At 41.5% G+C, this 21,005-nt stretch overlaps 1 protein-coding gene across 10 annotated transcripts in view, besides 1 other annotated feature; it reads right to left on the bottom strand.

Moving 5' to 3' along the window:
* The window catches only part of VMP1 (vacuole membrane protein 1), a 134,602-nt gene that overhangs the window by 11,859 nt on the left and 101,738 nt on the right, over nt 1-21,005 (bottom strand). For all 10 annotated transcript variants that reach the window (NM_001329394.2, NM_001329395.2, NM_030938.5 and 7 more), the window contains 2 exons: nt 18,611-18,727; nt 12,624-12,685 (listed from right to left, as the gene is read on the bottom strand). In NM_001329394.2, coding sequence (NP_001316323.1) covers nt 12,624-12,685; nt 18,611-18,727 — 179 coding nt within the window. The remainder of the gene's footprint in view (nt 1-12,623; nt 12,686-18,610; nt 18,728-21,005) is intronic.
* Nucleotides 429-618: an enhancer, noted in NCBI's record as "active region_12516". NCBI's record gives its function as "activates an Ori minimal core promoter by ATAC-STARR-seq in GM12878 lymphoblastoid cells {active_cell/tissue: GM12878}" and the evidence as "EXISTENCE:reporter gene assay evidence [ECO:0000049][PMID:35858748]".

Here is a 21,005-nt window from a genome sequence, read left to right as displayed (position 1 = left end):
GAAGATTCAGGTCAGGGTACTTATAAAAAGAAAAGAGTGCTCAGCTTGGTGGCTCACTGTAATCCCAGCACTTTGGGAGGCCAAGGTGGGAGGATCACTTGAGCCTATGAGTTCAAGACCAGCCTGGGCAATATAGTGAGACCTCCTCTCTACAAAAAATTTAAAAATTGGCTGAGCATGCTGGCATGCGACAGGAGGTGGGAGGATCACTTGGGCCTGGGAGGCAGATGTTGCTCCAGCCTGGGCAACAGAGCTAGCCCCTGTCCCCGCCCCCACCAAATCTGGATAGCCCAACTTCAGGAGACTGAAAACCTGTGCCCAGAGTTATAAAATTTAATTATGTTCTAAATGAATATCAGGATCTTTAGAATTTTCTTGATTGAATGAGGACCACTGTATGTAAATCAATACATCAAATTTATCCTCTGACCCCAGAGAGTTCTATCAATTGAGATTTGGCCCAGGAGCACAGGAGTAGACTCCTATATAGAAAATGATCCTGTTCTAACTGAAGCCAACAACCGCCTCTTCTGCTGAAGAGACTGAATTTTACATTTAAGGCAATAGTAGGATACACTTTCAGGAATGAAATTAAAGCCCTTCCCTATCCTACTCCCATTACAAGCTGATCTGTTATATGTACAAAAGAGGAAAAGAGGGTGTGGGAGAAGATCAGCAACAAGACAGCCTAGCAATTCCCTTTCTCGGTAACAGTCTTGTAAATAATTCTCCATCTTCAGAAATGTGCACATTTTAGTCAAACATTATAGAGTTAAATTTTCCTTCCTACCCCCTAGGCAGTGATCTAAACAGGCTTAACGGCTAGTATTTTAATGAGTTGTCATTTCCTGTCTGATAAAGATTCTCACAGTATTTAACCACCAGTTTCCCTGGGGACCAACCAATACTAGAGCTCTATTCATAGTGACTCAGAATGGACCTCAGACTCTTGCCCTTATTCAAAAATGACAGATTGCCCTCCACATGAAACTGCCTTTCCTAGTAAGGTAGACTGCTCGGAAAAGGGTGGGGGAGTTTATCATGCAATCTTTCTGAAGAAGCCAAAGGCCATCATGCTGACTCATTAATATCTACAGCCTTTCAGCCCTTTATTAATCCAGAATAAGTAAATGAACAGGTGCTAACTGAAAATAAACACATATTTAACCTAGTAAAAAAGGATCTAGTTATCCTGTGTGACTGGAATGAAAGTGTTATTATCTTTACCATTTAACTGAATAGAACACATGAATCTTTTTGTTTTGTTTTGTTTTGTTTTTGGAGACGGAGTCTGGCTCTATCACCCACGATGGAGTGCAGTGGCGCAATCTCGGCTCACTGCAACCTTCACCTCCCGGCTTCAAGCGATTCTCCTGCCTCAACCCCCTGAGTAGCTGGGATTACAGGTAGGCACCACTACACCCTGCTAGTTTTTGTATTTTTAGTAGAGACAGGGTTTCACCATGTTGGTCAGGCTGGTCTCAAACTCCTGACCTTAAGTGATCCGCCTGCCTTGACCTCCCAAAATGCTGGGATTACAGGCATAAGCCTCTGTGCCTGGCTCAGTATATGAATCTTTGAAGCTGATACTATAAGAAAAAACTGGTAACTGATGTATTCTACTTGCTTTGGATCTGAAATGTGGTAGCCCCCTAATCATGTTTCTTTACATCCAGGATCTTGGAATGGCACCCCAACATAAAATAAATTCAGGATGAAAATCACACACTATACTAGAAAATCTAGGGCTTTCTCATATATACAAGTTTGGACTGACAGTCCCTGGCACCTTCTAAAATTCGTTGTGATTTGACCCCAGGATCTGGGATTAAAACATCTTGAATTTCATTCACATCTGTGCCCTTTCAAATGATTAAAACTTCTTTTGTACTTAAGTTAGTCCATTGTACGCAGAGTGGTATTATGAACACATGACACCATGGGTTTCTTTCTGGCTGTGTAGAAGGAAGACCATGCTTTCTCCAGGTGTATTTTATCAGGTACATTGTTTCTACTGCCTTACAGCATATTTTATCACAAAATAATCTGCAATTGCCCTAGCTTTTGGAGATTTAGCATTATTTTCTGTAAGAATCAGATTGGAGGTTAGACTTCCTTATCATTAGCAGCTACTCTTTGAAATAAGCTAACATTAAAGAGAAGCTCTAGAGAACAAAACCTCATTTCAGAAGGCAGACTTGAGCAGCAGGAGAAAAGCAGGCATTTGTGCTGATGAATGTGGCCAGAGCTAAAGGAGTGGTCTATAAGGACTAGGTAAAACTGATTGGTTGCCAAAACAAAACTCTGTTAAAAATCAACTGATTGCATTTATAGAAAATGACAGACTGGTGGCAGCTTTTTTTTTTTTTTTTAAAGAGGTTGTGTCTCTTGCCTCAGCCTCCCAAGTAGCTGGAACTACAGGCGAGTGGCACTGCACCTGGCCCCAGTGGCAGCTTTTTTTTGGGAACAGGATCTTGCTCTGTTGCCCACTCAAGAGTGCAATGGCACAAACACGACTCACTGCAGCCTTGACCTCCCGGGCTCAAGCAATCTTCCTGCCTCAACCTTCCGAGTAGCTGGGGCCACAGTAGCTAATTTTTAAATTTTTTTCAAGAGATGGGGTCTCACCATGTTGTCCAGGCTGGTCTCAAACTTCTGGGCTCAAGCAATCCCGCCTCAGCCTCCCAAAGTTCTAAGATTACAGGTGTGAGTGGGCCTGGTGGCAGCTTTTTATAGTGACAGATCTGCACTGGTTTGAAGACTCACTGAGTTCTAAAACTTAAAAATCAGGCCAGCACAGCGGCTCATGCCTGTAATCCCAGCACTTTGGGAGGCCGAGGCCTCCTGAGGTCAGGAGTTTGAGACCAGCCTGGCCAATATGGTGAAACCCCGACTCTAGTAAAAATACAAAAATTAGCTGGGGGTGGTGGTGCATGCCTGTAGTCTTAGCTGCTTGGGAGGCTGAGGCAGAAGAATTGCTTGAACCCAGGAGGCAGAGGTTGCAGTGAGCTGAGATCACGCCACTGCACTCCAGGCTGGGCGACAGAGCAAGACTTGGTCTCAAAAAACAAACAGACAAACAAAAAAACCAAAAAAGTGATAGTATTGGCAGGACACAGTGGCTCATGCCTGTAATCCCAGCATTTGGGGAGGCTGAGGCAGGAGGATCACTTGAGCACAGGAGTTCAAGATCAGCCTGGGCAACACAGCGAGACCCTGTCTCAAAAAAGAAAAAAAAAGTGACAGTATTGATTGAAATTCAATCTCACTTAAAAAAAAGTTATGATCTCTGTCCTCAAGGAACTCTATCTAGAAGGATGCTGGGAGAGGGGAAAAAATGCACTTAAATGTACACTACAGAAACCAGTAGGTTTTTCATTGAAAGTAACCACAGTAGTAACTAGCTACAGCTGCACACAGGTGGATGCACGTGTGCACAGGAGAATAGACAGAATTCATGCTGCATCCCTACCAAATTCACACAGCAGCTGTTTGAAACTGGTGCTCTAGTCTAAATTTCCAACTTCCAGCAAATGACTTCACTGGCTTCCAGAGTGCTCCCTCAGGAGTGTCCCCCTTCTCTGCCTCAAAACATCTTGGAGTCTTCACTCCAGTTTTCAAGAAAGAACTGGTTCATGAGGATAATCAATCCACTCCAGAATTGATCCTATCTCAATCATCTCTTATCATTTATATGAATTTAACTTCTCTGTAATAGTACCTAACAGGTTTTGTTATGGATATGAAATGAATATTTATGTAAAGCATCTGGCACAGTGGGTGCTTACTGAATGTTAATTTCCTTCCCACATCCTTCCCTTTCTTCATTTATATTTTCTATCTCTAGCATTTTACTAGAGTTTTTCCCTCAGCCTAAAATACACACTGGTCCCTCCTATTTAATGAATGAATTAATTCATCTGGTCAACAAATATTTACAAAACAATTAAAATGTGTCAGACATGACTTTCGCTTGACCTTTCCTCTAGCCCACAATTCCATGTAATCCAATATATTTGGGTTTTAATTTTCATCATGCTACTAAAATGCTCCATTAAATGGTCAACGGTAACTTCCAAATACAATGTACCCATTTCTCATCTAACAGTCTAACTCCAGAACTCCTGTTTTAACCTTTATGTGGTCTCCCAATATCCATAACAAACATATAGAAAGGTTAACTGTCAAAAGAGAAGGATATATAAACTACCACGGACAAGAAGAGAAAGGGGTTTTCCCAAGCTGCAGAAAGAGGTTATGTTAGACTGTATAACTGAGTCTCGGCAGCTGGGGTTTAAACCCTGTGTTAAGCCTTAAATTCTATCCTTTCATCAGATAATACAAATGCTGGGGTTCCACACTTCCATAACTTTTTCTGATTATTTTCAATGATCAAAGTCAAAGAGAATCAAATACATGGACCATTTTATCCTCTAAAATGAAAGGACAGATTTTCTTTCTGTAGAAGAAAAAGTCCAGGCCCACGTAGCTCATTCTGACCACTTTCCATAGAGTGAGGGATAAGAAACAACATTCGGATTCAAGCACTTTATTACTCACTGGTTAAAATGATCTCTCTTGCCACAGGCAAGCCTGACTCTGAGGTCAAGCATCAAGTTAGCTCAGAAATAGGAGACAGCAAAGAAGAGCATGGAACATTCTGTATCTGGTAAAAAGTCCCTGTTCCAGCCAACACCATCCCCCAGCCCTCAAGTTCAATGATTGAGTTATGGAAACTTTTCTTGTGTGGTAAAACTGGGGACTTTGTCTTCCAATAAGACCCTGGCAACATGACAATGAGCCAATGTTCTGCATATGGTTTGCTGCGAGTCATATGCTTAATGTTATTTTCTGGGAATTCACATCCCCTATTTGGTGAGAATATGGGAACATGTCATTTTAATCATAACTTTAAAAGTTAGATTTGGTTATGCTCTTTAAGAAATATGCACAGGTCTCTCCCACTGGAGAAAGTCTAAAATTAAATAAAAATTAGTATTAAATCGTAATTAAAAAAACAAAAAGGGCTGGGCACGGTGGCTTATGCCTGTAATCCCAGCACTTTGGGATGCCAAGGCGGGTGGATCATGAGGTCAGGAGTTTGAGACCAGCCTAGCCAACATCGTGAAATCCTGTCTCTACTAAAGACACAAAAATTAGCCAGGCATGGTGGCAGGTGCCTGTAATCCCAGCTACTCGGGAGAATCGCTTGAACACAGGAGGCAGAGGTTGCAGTGGGTCGAGATTGCACCACAGCGCTCCAGCCTGGGCAATAGAACAAAACTCTGTCTCAAAAAAAAAAAAAAAAAAAAAAAAAAATCACAACTAACATAATGCCTTTTGAGCTAGAAGTTCCCTAGTTCTTTGGTTCTATCACCTGACTTTGGGTCTCGCCATGTTCGAGACCAGGCTGGACTCAAATTCCTGAGAATTCAACCAATCCATCTGCCTCGGCCTCCCAAAGTGCTGGGATTACAGGCGTGAGCCACCATGCCTAGCCAATTTTTTTTTTTTTTTTTTTTTTGAGACGGAGTCTTGCTCTGTCACCCAGGCTGGAGTGCAGTGGCGCAATCTCGGCTCACTACAATTTCCACCTCCTGGGTTCAAGAGATTCTCCCACCTCAGCCTCTTGAGTAGCTGGGACTACAGGCACCCATCACCACGCTTGGCTAATTTTTGTATTTTTAGTAGAGATGGGGTTTCACCATGTTGGCCAGGCTGGTCTTGAACTCCTGACCTCAGGTGATCCGCCCACCTCGGCCTCCCAAAGTGCTGGGATTACAGGCGTGGGCCACTGCGCCTGGTCCTTTTTTTTTTTTTTTTTTAGAAGGAGTCTCCCTCTGTCACTGAGGCTGGAGTGCACTGGCACGATCTTGGCTCACTGCATTCTCCACCTCCCGGGTTCAAGTGATTCTCCTGTCTCAGCCTCCCGAGTAGCTGGGATTATAGACGCCCACCCCCACGCCCGGCTAATTTTTTGTATTTTTAGTAGAGATGAGGTTTCATCAGGTCGCCCAGGCTGGTCTTGAACTCCTGACCTCAGGTGATACACCTGCCTTGGCCTCCCAAAGTGCTGGGGTTATAGATGTGAGCCATCATGCCCGGCCCCAGCCAAAAGATTTTTGATACCCTTTTTTTTTTTTTTGGAGACAGAGTCTCGCTGTGTCGCCCAGGCTGGAGTGCAGTGGTGTGATCTCAGCTCACTGCAAGCTCTGCCTCCTGGGTTCAAGTGATTCTCCTGCCTCAGCCTCCTGAGTAGCTGGGACGACAGGTGCCTGCCACCATGCCCGGCTAATTTTTGTATGTTTAGTGGAGACAAGGTTTCACCATGTTGGCCAGCATGGTCTCGAATTCCTGACCTCAGGTGATCTGCCCAAAGTGCCGGGATTACAGGCGTGAGCCTCTGCGCCCGGCCCGGGATTCATTTTTCATTCTTCCTTGCCTTATTATCTCATAATTTTATTTTAAATTTCAACTGCTGCTGGCTTTTTTCTTGCTTGTCTTTTGATTTTGTTCTCTACCATGACAAGTTATCTCTCCTTTATTTGTGACTGCAAGGTTTTAAATATCCTTCAAAAGACTGCATTCTGAAGTTTACTAATTTAGTTTGATGATTTGCTATACCATTCAGCGATTTTTTTTTTTTGAGGCAGAGTCTCGCTCTGTCACCCAGGTTGGAGTGCAGTGGCGTGATCTCAGCTCACTGCATGATCCGCCTCCCGGGTTCACGTCATTCTCCTGCCTTAGCCTCCCAAGTAGCTGAGATACAGGTGCCGTCCACCACACCCGGCTAATTTTTTTTTGTATTTTTAGTAGAGACTGGGTTTCACCATGTTAGCCAGGATGGTCTTGATCTCCTGACCTTGTGATCCGCCCACCTCAGCCTCCCAAAGTGCTGGGATTACAGGTATGAGCCACTGCCCCCGGCCCGATTTTTTTTTTTTTTTTTGAGACATATCTCACTGTCATCCAGGCTGGAGTGCAGTGGTGTGATCTCGGCTCACTGCAACCTCCGCCTCCCAGGTTCGAGAAATTCTCCTACCTCAGCCTCCCAAATAGCTGAGATTACAGGCATGCGGCACCATGCCCAGCTAATTTTTGTATTTTTAGTAGAGATGGGGGTCTTACCATGTTGGCCAGCCTGGTCTCAAACTCCTGACCTCAAATGATCTACCCGCCTTGGCCTCCCAAAGTGCTGGGATTGCAGGCGTCAGCCACCATGCCTGGCCCATTCAGGGTTTTAACAGTGTGAAGGAGAGAACTAACAATTAAAGGAGAATGTTTATTTTCTTTCTTCCTTTCTTTTTTTCAAGAATCAGGGTCTCACTCTGTCGCCTAGGATGGAGTGCAGTAGTATGATCATGGTTCACTGCAGCCTCAACCTCCTGCCTCAAACAATTTTTCCATCTCAGCCTCTTGGGTAGCAGGGACTACAGGCGGGTACCACCATGCCCAACTAATTTGTTAGTGCGTTTTTTTGTAGAGACAGACAGAGTCTTACTATGTTTCCAGGCTAGTCCTGAATTCCTAGCTTCAAATGATCTAAAGGAGAATGTTTCTACAGCAGGTTAGAGACAGTGTATCTAGTGAGGAAATCCAGCTGTTCACCTCCTCTTTTCTGAAATAAAGTACTACTCTATTAATTATGATATGAAATCATATATTTGGGTCTACTAAAAATTTGTTCTCTTTATTGAACTTAATCTCCATTTTAGGTTTGGTGAGGCTACTTATTAATTTTCAATTGAACACTTGTATTTAAAAGCATTTCTGGCTGGGCATGGTGGCTCACACCTGTAATCCCAGCACTTTGGTGGGCCGAGGCAGGTGGATCACTTGAGGTCAGGAGTTCAAGACCAGCGTGACATGGTGAAACCCCATCTCTACTAAAAATACAAAAATTAGCCAGGTGTGGTGGTGCACACCTGTAATCCCAGCTACTCAGAAGGCTGAAGCAGGAGAATTGCTTGAACCCGGGAGGCGGAGATTGGAGTAAGCTGAGATCACACCACTGCACTCCAGCCTGGGCGACACAGCAAGACTCTGTCTCAGAAAAAAAAAAAAAAAAAAGTATTTCCTACTTCAAAACATAAAAAAACCAATCATGTCATGCTCAATTGGAGAATCTGATTAAAAGATAATGTTATTAATGACAAAGACTAAAAGGATACCCTTTGGGATCTGATAATAAAGCTTTACTAGCATCTGCTGAGTCTAATTATTTATACTGTTTAATATATTATCTAGAAAAGAATGGCCGGGCACAGTGGCTCACTCTTGTAATCGCAGCACTTTGGAAGGCTGAGGTGGGCGGACCACCTGAGGTCAGGAGCTTGAGATCAGCCTGGCCAAATGGTGGAAGCCCATCTCTACTAAAAATATAAAAATTAGCCAGGCATGGTGGTGCACGCCTGTAATCCCAGTTACTTGGGAGGCTGAGGCAGGAAAATCACTTGAATCCAGGAGGCGGAGGTTGCAGTGAGCCAAGATTGTGCCACTGTACCCCAGCCTGGGCGACAAAGCAAAACTCCATCTCAAAAAAAAAAAGGCCAGGTGCAGTGGCTCACGCCTGTAATCCCAGCACTTTGGGAGTCCCAGGCAGGTGGATCACCTGAGGTCAGGAGTTCAGGTGACCTGACCAACATGGAGAAACCCTGTCCCTACTAAAAATAAAAAATTAGCCGGGCATGATGGCACATGCCTATAATCCCAGCTGCTCGGGAGGCTGAGTCAGGAGAATTGCTTGAACCCAGGAGGCGGAGGTTTCGGTGAGTCGAGATCTGAGATCGCACCATTGCACTCCAGCCTGGGCAACGAGAGTGAAACTCCGCCTCAAAAAAAAAAAAAAAAAAAAAAAGAAAAGTAGCTGAGGTAATCCCTGTAGACAGTGCTAGGAAAATGATAAGGACATCAGGACATTCCAACATCTGTCTCCTAAAAATAATTTTTCAAATACGACACAACTCATTTAATTCAATACAAATCTGAATCCAGTAGGTCTTGAATATTTTAGCATAACTATATTCAAAACCATCTTATCTTTAAGAGTAAAGGATCACTGGAATTTTTTGAGGGGCCATGCCAGTGGGGTTTAAAATAAATTACTGACTTTGAAAGACGTAAGATAGGTCAGGTGCAGTGGCTCACACCTGTAATCCCAGCACTTTGGGAGGCTTAGGCAGGCGGATCATGAGGTCAGGAGATCGAGACCATCCTGGCTAACACCGTGAAACCCTGTCTCTATTAACAATACAAAAAATTAGCCAGGCATGGAGGCGGGCGCCTGTAGTCCCAGCTACTCGGGGGGCTGAGGCAGGAGAATGGCATGGACCCAGGAGGCGGAGCTTCCAGTGAGCCAAGATCGCGCCACTGCACTCCAGCCTGGGCGACACAGTGAGACTCCGTCACAAAAAAAAAAAAAACAAAAAAAAGAAAGAAAGACATAAGATATTCTGACTTAACCACATTGGCCTAAGCTTAAAGGCATTTCTATTTACCATAGATAAATAATATAATTTCATAAAAACTCTAAAGCCTGCGGAAATAGAAGAATCTGGGCTATACCAATGATTTTCTAATTTGTACTGGTCATGTGTTCACTTATTCAGCAGATTTACCAAGTGTCTGCTATATGTCAGTCAAGACGCCAGGACCAGTGGACATAACAGTAAACAAAAATAGACACAATCTTTGCCTTTGAGAAGCTTACAGGTTAACAGTAAAAAGACAGTAAATCACACACTCCTACAAACATAAGTGTAACAATATAACTATAAGTGCATGTAGTATACGTTGCTGTGAAGAAAGGCCCCTGGTAAAGATGGTATTAGATCAAGTCAGGGAATGCTTTCTGAGAATGCAATGGCTAAAATCTAAAGGACACTGTTTAGGCCAGTGATTCTCAATGAGGGTGGTGGTCTGTTCCCCATGTGACATTTGGCAATGTCTGAGACATTTGTGATTGTCATGATTGGGAGGTACTAGTAGCATGCAGTGAGTAGAGGAGGAAGATGATGCTACATCTCTTATAATGCACAGGACAGTTCCCCATAACAAGTAATTATCTGGTCTTTAAAAAGTCAATAGTGCCAAGGCTGAGAAATCTTGAACTAGGCAAAGAGAAAAGCACAAGCAAAGACCAGTGGTGGGAGACTCAAATATGGACAAAGTAGTTTGAGCAGAGGAAACTAGAGGGGACAGATAACACAGAGAGGGCTTATAAACCCTGGTAAGGAGTTTTGGCTTTATCTAAAGAATGAAGGGAAAAACAAGTAAGTGAAGGGTTTCAAGAAGAGGAGGAGAAAGGGAGTGAAGACAGTGGTGATGATATGCTCAGATTAAAATTTCAAAAAGGTTACTGACTGCAATATGGTGAACAGATTGGAAGAGAGTGAAACTGGATATATCGGTAGATGAAACAAGTAGCTAAGTAATGTAACTTCCTAGAAACTCCAAAGGCTGGGGAAACAGAAGGTACTCATGGTGAGGATGCAGGAGTAGCTGAAAAACTTCTTTCTATAAATGTTCAGTATAAGAAAAGAACAAATAATGCATGGTGTTATATGCACTGCGCTCTGCAGTCTCAAGGTAGAGTAGTAGTCTCTAAGAATAAATGAAATGTTTTCCTTACATTTAAAAAATAAGGGGTTGGGAGCGGAGGCTCATGCCTGTAATCCCAGCACTTTGGAAGCCCGAGATGGGCGGATCACCAGGTCAGGAGTTTGAGACCAGCCTGACCAATGTGGTGAAACCCTAACTCTACTAAAAATACAAAAATTAGCTGGGTGTGGTGGCGTACACCTGTAATCCCAGCTACTCAGGAGGCTGATGCAGAAGAATTGCTTTAACCTGGGAGGCGGAGGTTGTAGTGAGCTGAGATTGCACCACTGCACTCCAGCCTGGAGCGAGACTCTGTCTCAAAAACAACAACAAAAAAAACCAAAAACATAAGGGAAGCCAGGCATGGTGGCTCATGCCAGTAATTCCAACACTTTGGAAGGCTGAGGTGGGAGGACTACTTGAAACCAGGAGTTTGACACCAGCCTGGGCAGCAAAGCGAGACCCCGTCTCTACAAAAATGAATAAATAAATAAATAAAAAATAAGGGACAAGAATATTTTTTGTCTTTATGTGATATATGGTCACATATAAAATACTTTATTTGTAAGGATTCAGGCAGCAAAAAACTAGAGTAAATTTAATTTTAATTTTAAATGTAAATTTTAGTGTACAAGTTATAATCCACACTGATAAGCTCAGGAATTAATGAAACTAATGACTGGCTCCACTGAGTACAATCTCAAGAATATATTTTTTCCTTATTAAAGCTGAACTAGCAAATATTAAAAACTATTTTATTACAATACATAGAAAAGAATGAACATATATATGACCAAAAAAATCAATAGTCACAAACTCAGCATCAAGTGGCATTCTTTTTTTAAATAGCAAAAATTTCCATAAATGTTTGCTCTGTAAGTGGCTTTTAAGATAAAGATTTACATTAAAACTAAACAAAGGGCACTTAAACTTGACACATTTCCCCCGTGGGGCAGCTGTACTACTGAATGAAAAGAAAACCTCTCCCCTATAATAATGATTTAAAAACCTAACAACTTTTGGTTTTATTGCAATTTATTTTAATTAATTTTTTTTTTTGGGATGGAGTTTCGCTCTTCTTGCCCAGGCTGGAGTGCAATGACGCGCTCTCAGCTCACCGCAACCTCCGCCTCCCTCGTAGCTGGGATTACAGGCATGTGCCACCACGCCCGGCTAATTTTGTATTTTTAGTAGAGATGGGATTTCTCCATGTTGGTGAGGCTGGTCTTGAACTCCCAACCTCAGGCGATCCGCCTGCCCTGGCCTCCCAAAGTGCTGGGATTACAGGCATCAGCCACCGTGCCTGGCCAGTTTAGCCTTTTAAAATAACCTAATTTTTCTCTAGTGAAGTAATAGAGACCTGACAAATTTTGTTAATATTATGCCATCTAACATGACTTACTTAATTAAATACTAAATTTTCTTTTTTTTGAGATAGAGTCTTGCTCTGTCACCCAGGCTGGAGTGCAATGGCATGATCTTGGCTCACTGCAACCTCTGCCTCCCAGGTTCAAGCGATTCTCCTGCCTCAGCCTCCTGAGCAGCTGGGACTATAGGTGCCCGCCACCACGGCCGGCTAGGTTTTATATAAAATACTAAAATTTTATGTAAGATTTACATTTACATTAAATGCAGCTGTGTATCTGGCATCTAGTTTGGCCAAAAATCACAGCATTGTACTAAAGCACCATTAAACTGCAATGATATACACATATCTTTTATATAAAGACAATTTCTTATTTCTTTGGTGGGGCTACAGATTCAAACCCCAAAGCTTCTTTTAAACCCAGAATTATATGACTTGATAGATGTTTGGTTTACAATTAAACAGGGATAATGTAAGCTTTATCTTTCCCTACTATAGAACAAGAAAGTATTCTTCATTTACTAATAACAGCAAGTTATTTTTGCTCCTCAAAAAATAAAGAACTATGTCAAAAATTCTATTTCAATTCAGTCTTGTACACATTTACTCCCATTTAAAGAGTAATTATATTAATATTAGTCCTTGAAGAATTACTTACCCAATGAAAGCCACCATTTGCTCCACTATGTGCTTGCTGAATGTTATTATAACAAAAATTTTCTGTAAAGAAAACACCAGTTAAAATAAATTATTTAGTCATCAAAAAACCAACATAAATTCACAATTCTGGTAATAGTCTAAAGAGGTAAGATTGTGCCCCTAATTGCAATTTTTAAATTTCTTTAAAAATAAAATATAACATTTCCATCCTGTCCAACATGGTGAAACCCCGTCTCTACTAAAAATACAAAAATTAGCTGGGGGTGGTGACATGTGCCTGTAGTCCCAGCTACTTGGGAGGCTGAGGCAGGAGAATTGCTTGAACCCAGGAGGCGGAGGTGGCAGTGAGCCAAGATTGCACCACTGCACTCCAGCCTGATGACAGAGTGAGGAGACTCCATATCAAAAATAAAATAAAATAAAATAAAAGATAACATTTAATTCAAATGTTATCAACTTTGTATTCCTTTTTTTTTTTTTTTTTTTTTTGAGACAGAGTTTCACTCTTATTGCCCAGTTGCCCAGGCTGGAGTGCCATGGCGTGATCTCAACTCACCGCAACCTCCGCCTCCCGGGTTCAAGCGATTCTCCTGCCTCAGCCTCCCAAAGTACCTGGGATTACAGGGATGCGCTACCATGCCCAGCTAATTTTTTTTTGTATTTTTAGTAGAGATGGTGTTTCTCCATGTTGGTCAGGCTGGTCTTGAACTCCTGATCTCAAGTGATCCATCTGCCTCAGCCTCCCAAAGTGCTGGGATTACAGGCATGAGCCATTGCGCCCGGCCCTTTTTTTTTTTCTTTCTTTCTTTTTTCTTTTTTTTTTTTTGAGACGGAGTCTCCTTCTGTTGCCCAGGCTGGAGTGCAGTGGCGCCATCTTGGCTCACTACAACCTCCGCCTCCCAGGGTCAAGCCATTCTCCTACCTCAGCCTCTCAAGTAGCTGGGATTACAGGCGCACGACACCACGCCTAGCAAATTTTTGTGTTTTTTGTATAGATGGGGTTTCACCATGCTGGCCAGGAGGCCAGGATGGTCTCGAACTCCTGACCTGGTGATCCACCTGCCTCAGCCTCCCAAAGTGCTGGGACTACAGGCGCCCGCCACCATGCCCGGCTAATTTTTTGTATTTTTAGTAGAGATGGGGTTTCACTGTGTTAGCCAGGATGGTCTCGATCTCCTGACCTCGTGATCTGCCCACCTCAGCCTCCCAAAGTGCGGGATTACAGGCGTCAGCCACTGTGCCCAGCCAACAGTAGTCTTCTTTTTATCCACTCACTATGAATCTCAGGAACCTGGACAGGTTAGACTAACGTACATTATTTCTGGCAAGAAGACTAATAAGGCAAAGGTATACAATTGGTATGTGAATATTATGAAGCTAGCAAGGCTATTATTACAGATAATTTGTGAAGAAAAGCAGGGGGTCTATACCAAAAACCAGTTATTTAGAGCTATAAATCTTTTATTAATCAACAGAGCTAGTAGTTCTTGCCTTCCAGTGATTTCATCACCATGAACTTTCCCTACTATCATTTCTTAACAATCAAAATAAGCCAATGCCTAAATAATTGCACAATTTCAATGCAAAACAGCAAAACAAGATTTTCTTTTTGTATGTAGCAGCTTGAAAAGTCACTGTTCTGGGTTAGACAAAAAATGTGTCACACATTTAAGAACATATGTCTTAGTCTTTCAGGCAGGAGGTCTGAGTGGGAATTCTACAAAATAAATAAAAGGCACAGACCACGGAAGAGCCCTCTTAACCACATGCATAGAAGAAACAAAGGAAAGGGTAGAGGAGGAGGAAAAAAGACATGGGAGGGAGAAACTAATTGTGCTAGAATGAACAAAGATGGAACCATCTGTAAAAGAAGTCCTTCATTGGAAAGAAGAATCTTTTTTTTTTTTTTTTTTTTTGAGACGGAGTCTCGCTCTGTTGCCCAGGCTGGAATGCAGTGGCTCAATCTGGGCTCACTGCAACCTCCGCCTCCTGGTTCACGTCATTCTCCTGCCTCAGCCTCCTGAGTAGCTGGGACTACAGGCGCCCGCCACCATGCCCAGCTAATTTTTTTGTATTTTTTTTAGTAGAGACGGGGTTTCACCGTGTTAGCCAGGATGGTCTCGATCTCCTGACCTTGTGATCCACCTGCCTCGGCCTCCCAAAGTGCTGGGATTACAGGCGTGAGCCACCGCACCCGGCCAGAAAGAAGAATCTTAAGACAGATTCAGTTATTAAATATTGAGTGCCTACTATCTCCTGGATGCTATTCTAGGCATTATAATACATCAGTGAACCAACAGACAAAAATCTCTGCCCTCCTGGGAGTTTATAATACTGTGTGTGTGCTGGTGAGTGTGAAGGTAGAGAGATAAAGAACAGTGATGTATTTTAAGGGTACAATAAGTAAGTTAAATGGTACATGAAATAACATGAATGAGTATGTTGCTTTTCTTAATTATTTGGGACAAAGGTAATGTCTCTAAGGATACTACTTCTTAAAAAATTTTTTCTAAAAAGATACTCTTCTCATGCCTTTTCCTATCTAAGGATACTTCTACAGACAGAGTACTTGACTCTGTGCAGTGGAAGGGGAAATCTGATCTAACATTATAGGTAGATTGATTTGAATCTTTTAGGGGAAGGTTAAGAGGAAGACATCAATAAAAATAGCAATATTTATTAAAGAAGGTTGTCTAATTTTAAGCTGAGGAAAAAGGGAAGAAAGAAAAGCAGACAAGGAGACAGGTTTACTATTAGGGTAGAAAAAAATCGGTGTGTGTGTGGCTTTCCCACTATTATTTCAGAATGGTTAAAATGTTTATATTACTAATATTGTTTACCCACAGAATGAGAAATGTTTGTTACCCTAAGCTACATCTGGATGTACATCAAGTGACATGCCTTTACAAAGCATGTCACTATGATACGATGGAACACAGCAAACATATCCCACGGTCTTAGTTTAGTGAAGGAACTCAGATTCTTTCCTTTCAGAAACATAAATGGATTTTAGCTTTCTTTTTCTTTTTTGCTTCCACATAGATACAGGGAAAGAGCTTTATCTTTACAGAGCTTGGTTGGATTCTAGGGCCTTAGGCAAGTATTTTACCTTCTCTAACACAGTTCCCTCATCTATGAAATGTGGTTAATAACAACCTCTCAAGATTGTCTGCCATGAGATAACTACTGCAAATTACCTTGCACAGGTCCTGATCAATAGCAGGCATTAAACAATTCAGTTTCCTTAATCATATCAATACATTAAAGTTAAGAAGGCAATGCAAAAGAATGGAAAGAACACTGAACTTGAAGTCAAAAGACTTGGGTTCAAATTCCAGCTGTTACTTACTCTCTTAAGCAACTATTACTTATTAACCTCCCTACCTCTGAGAATTACAAAATGGGTATAGTAATTCCTCTATCCCAGGATTATAAGAATTAAATCATATAGATAAGTGCTTTAAAGTGTGAAGTTCCATAAAAAAATCACTCATCGGCCAGGCGCAGTGGATCATGCCTGTAATCCCAGCACTTTGGGAGGCCAAGGCGGGCAGATCATGAGGTCAGGAGTTCGAGACCAGCCTGGCCAATATGGTGAACCCTATCTCTACTAAAAATACAGAATTAGCTGGGTGTGGTGGCATGCGCCTGTAGTCCCACTTACTCTGGAGGCTGAAACAAAAGAATCGTTTGAACCTGGGAGGCGGAGGTTGCAGTGAGCTGAAATCACGCCACCACACTCTAGCCTGGGTGACAGAGAGAGACTCCATCTCAAAAATCAATCAATCAATCAATCATCATAAATTGAAAAAATCTGAGTATGTTTAAATATATACTAGTTTTAAATCTTTCTGAAATGAAAGGTCTGATAAGTTGCATATCTTACCACTACAGATAGGGTACTTATGGCATAATACGTTTTACTATAATTTATAGAAAGGCACTGCATTCAAGAGGTATAAAGCAGGACACATAAAACTTATGGATTACTAGAGAAGTTCTTGTTATGAAATAAAATAATCTGTTATTTTTCCTTAGGTATTAAGGACTGCAAGAAGCTAAATGACAGCTCTCTTCTAGAAACAACTCTAAAGATTAAAGAAAAACCTATTTTCAGATACATTGAAAATAATTTATTATTCACCATATTTTATTATTTGAAAAAATCCTGTATGGTATTAAATCTTTTTTTTTTTTTTTGAGACAAACTCTTGTTGCCCAGGCTGGAGTGCAATGGCACGATCTCGGCTCACCGCAACCTCCACCTCTCAGGTTCAAGTGATTCTCCTGCCTCAGGCTCCTGAGTAGCTGGGATTACAGGCATGCGCCACCACGCTCGGCTAATTTTGTATTTTTAGTAGAGACAGGGTTTCTCCATGTTGGTCAGGCTGGTCTGGAACTTCCGACCTCAGGTGATCCACCCGCCTCGGCCTCCCAAAGTGCTGGGATTACAGGTGTGAGCCACCGCATCTGGCCAGTATTAAATCTTAACCATAGTAACTAGCACTGTAATATTAAAAAACCTGTGTTCGTTGATTGAACAAAATACTTAATTTAAATGGGAGGAAATATATTCTTTGAAGTAGGAAAAACATCATGAAATTCTGAGTGATTATGGCAGGAAAATAGAGGACAGACGCAATAAACTTGACCCAAATGCCAAAATCTAAGATTATAAACTGGATAAGTAGAAGCAGCCGAAGTTTTCCTGTTTCATTCTTCCCTTCTAAGAACTGGAAGTAGAGAGGTATTAACATAGAAACTTTGGGGATAGACACACTTGTAATTATCATGGAATCATACAAGGGCAGAGAACTTCACTGTTCTTTCCTTTCTTTTTTTGAGACAGAGTCTTGCTCTGTTGCCAGGCTGGAGTGCAGTGGCGTGATCTTGGCTCACTGCAACCTCCACCTCCCAGGTTCAAGAGACTCTCCTGCGTCAGCCTCCCAAGTAGCTGGGATTACAAGCGTGCGCCACCACGCCCAGCTAATTTTTGCGTTTTCAGTAGAGACAGGGTTTCACCATGTTGGCCAGGATGGTCTCGATCTCCTGACCTCATGATCTGCCCACTTCAGCCTCCCAAAGTGCTGGGATTACAGGCGTGAGCCACCACGCTTGGTTGTTCTTTCCTTTCTTTTGGTTAATAACGTTCTTTGTTACAAACCATACTGATATAAAACAAATTCTTTCCAGGTTAATTTTTATTTTATTCTATTGAGATCTGCCCTTAGAAGGAAGTAATTCATATCACAGTTCTAGAAGCACATATCCATTTTCCCTTCGTTTAAATTGTTAACCTTTTCTCTCCTCTCTATTCATATATGTGTGCACACACACATACACATGCACACACCCTCCATCCTAAAGATTTTGTTAAGAGTGGCTTTGAGGACTAGCAGATTCTCACTTCTCTGACCACAACCCACATCTCCTCGCCTCTTCAGAGACCCTCTTCTTCCCCATTCTCCTCCCACACTAACATCTGGCTGTTTTTCGGTAAAGGATATTGGTAACATGGGAGGAACTGCTTTACACACTCTATATATATAGAGTATGTGAAAGAAAGTAAGAATTAGTGAATGGCAATATTCTCTCAGCTTGTGGTTGGTAAAACAAAACAAAACAAACAAAAAACTACATTTTTTGGGCTGTGTATATAAAAATGATGTGCATCTTTCTGCACACAAACACTATTTTTGTTTGGTGAAAGTCCTGGATAAATAGTTAAACAGGACAAAAAATAAAGAAAGAAAGAGAGAAAGGAAGGAAAGAAGGAAGAAAGGGAAGGAGGGAGGAAGAAAGAAGAAAAGAAAGAAAACAAGGAGATCACTAATTCCAAATGACATTCTATGTGGTATTACCTAAGTAAGCTACCAACCAAAAAAGCAGAAAGAATAACTAAATAATTCACTTAGGAATGAGCATGTTTCATTGTCTTGTAATGGGTTCATCATCATTAGGCAGTGAATCAGGGGGTATAATTACCTGGATATGCATTTTTATTATTGCTTTTCCAATTAGGGTTGCACCAAAGAAGGTCCAAAAAGGTACCAGAAAGTGTCCACACGTTATTCCAGCCAGATCAAATAAAGGATTTGGAATCTATAGAGAGAAAAAGAAGGACTTCCATATTATAATCCAAAGAACAATTTAATTTTATCACCCATTGATATGTGGTATTCTGCTTTCAGCCTGCTTACACTGCAAAGCAATATATGGGTTCCTTGATCACTACTGGATTGTTCAAAAGGAGGTTAGGCAAACATCCTAATGTGTCTAGAAGCTGGGTCTCATATTCACCTTAGGTGTTCAATCTGCTCACAGCAAACCAAGGTGTCCTTTTGCTTATATTACTCATGGCTAAGGCACTGTGTGTGTGTTTGTGTGTGTGCCCATCACATGAGAACTGGATAAAGTAAGTGGACCTGCAGGAATTTAATCCCGTTCAGTTGATTCCTGGATATTTGGTGGCTGTTTTCTAAGGTGAGGTATGAGTGAAGAAAGAGCCTTAAGATTGTTTCAGCAGTTAGGGTTCTAAAATCTTTAGCTTGAAATGTGAATATTATCTGGAAAGCACTCATATCATTAGCAAATATTTTAATAAATTCTCAAATACATTTATGGGTGGATGTGCTGTTATTCTCAACATAAAATATTAATAATTTGTATTTTATTTTACGAGAGACCAAGTCTGAGGGCTATGTGACACAATTTATAAAGAAGATCAAGTGTGGAAATATGAGATCACACAGATTCAGATGTTTTGAATACTCAGTCCCAGACAAAGAAGTAATTCACAACAAATACCTTTCCCAAACATTCCCACATTTTAAGAATGCTAAAAGACATTTCATGTAAAAATGCAAAGAAGCCACAAGCTGTTTTTGAGCACTTCATCCCTTCTTCTCCTATGAAAGTACTCTGACCTTGTGGCTGTTGGCTGAACCATTAATAAGCCAATTAATTTATATAATTTCATTTTTGAACTTTGAAAGAAAAGCCTAGTTATTTAAAAAATACTTGTCACATATGATCTTTAAAAAAGACATGACTAAATTAGAATTCAAGTATTCCTTTGTTAGTAACACTTGGATTCAATGACTCATTTTTGTTTTTCTCATCCAAATTCAAATGCTTTAGGATTATTTCATCTCTTACAACCATATAATAATATCATTTACACAGCATCACACCTGCTATTTGTTATATTTGCTCATGTGACTCTCATAATTCTATGAGTTATAACTTTTTTTTCCTTTATCATAAGGTTCCAACTCATGTTGAAATGAAAATGAATTTAAAGTATTTAAGATATGTAGGCTGGGCGCAGTGTCTTATGCCTATAATCCCAGCACTTTGGGAGGCCGAGGTGGGTAGATCACTTGAGGTCAGGAGTTCGAGACCAGCCTGGCCAACATGGTGAAACCTTGTCTCTACTAAAAATACAAAAATTAGCTGGGTGTAGTGGTGCATGATTGTAATCCCAGCTACTGGGTAGCCTGAGGCAGGAGAATCGCTTGAACCTGGGAGGTGGAGGTTGCCGTGAGCCAAGATCTCGCCACTGCACTCCAGCCTGGGTGACAGAGGGAGACTCTGTCTCAAAAAAAGAAAAACAAACACAAAAAAAGGATTTAAGATACGTAAATCAGAGTAGCCCTGAGCTAACATCGCTTTAAACAGGTTTTATATAAATTCTTCCTTGTAACTAATACTTGAAACTTTGGAAAAAGACTTCTTATCTATAAATTTGAGGAAAGAATGAAGTCATCCTTATTTGGTTAAATGTAGTTTAATTTGGTTAAATGTAGTATATTCTTCATTGGAAGAATGGATTTTGTCTCTTTTATTCTTACTGATTTAAGCCATTTAGGTCTGAAGTCATCACTACATGATGAAATACTTAAAAGCCAATAAACAAGATGTGAACCTATTCAACAGAAAACAGCTCATTTAATAAGTTGAATTGGGCTGGGTGCAGTAGCTCACACCTGTAATCCCAGTACTTTGGGAGGCCGAGGCGGGCGGATCACGAGGTCAGGAGATCGAGACCATCCCGGCTAAAACGGTGAAACCCCGTCTCTACTAAAAATACAAAAAATTAGCCGGGCGTAGTGGCGGGCGCCTGTAGTCCCAGCTACTTGGGAGGCTGAGGCAGGAGAATGGCGTGAACCCGGGAGGCGGAGCTTGCAGTGAGCCGAGATCCCGCCACTGCACTACCGCCTGGGCGACAGAGCGAGACTCCGTCTCAAAAAAAAAAAAAAAAAAAAAAAAAAAAAAAAAAAAAAAATTAGCTGGGTGTGGTGGCAGTCGCCTGAAATCCCAGCTACTTTGGGAGGCTGAGGCAGGAGAATCGTTTGAACCCGGGAGGTGGAGGTTGCAG

The sequence above is a fragment of the Homo sapiens genome, chromosome 17 (assembly GCF_000001405.40).
Source record: "Homo sapiens chromosome 17, GRCh38.p14 Primary Assembly".
NCBI classification, from domain to species: Eukaryota; Metazoa; Chordata; class Mammalia; order Primates; family Hominidae; genus Homo; species Homo sapiens.
Note: the sequence above shows the minus strand (reverse complement) of the source record. Positions and strands in the feature narration are given on the sequence as shown.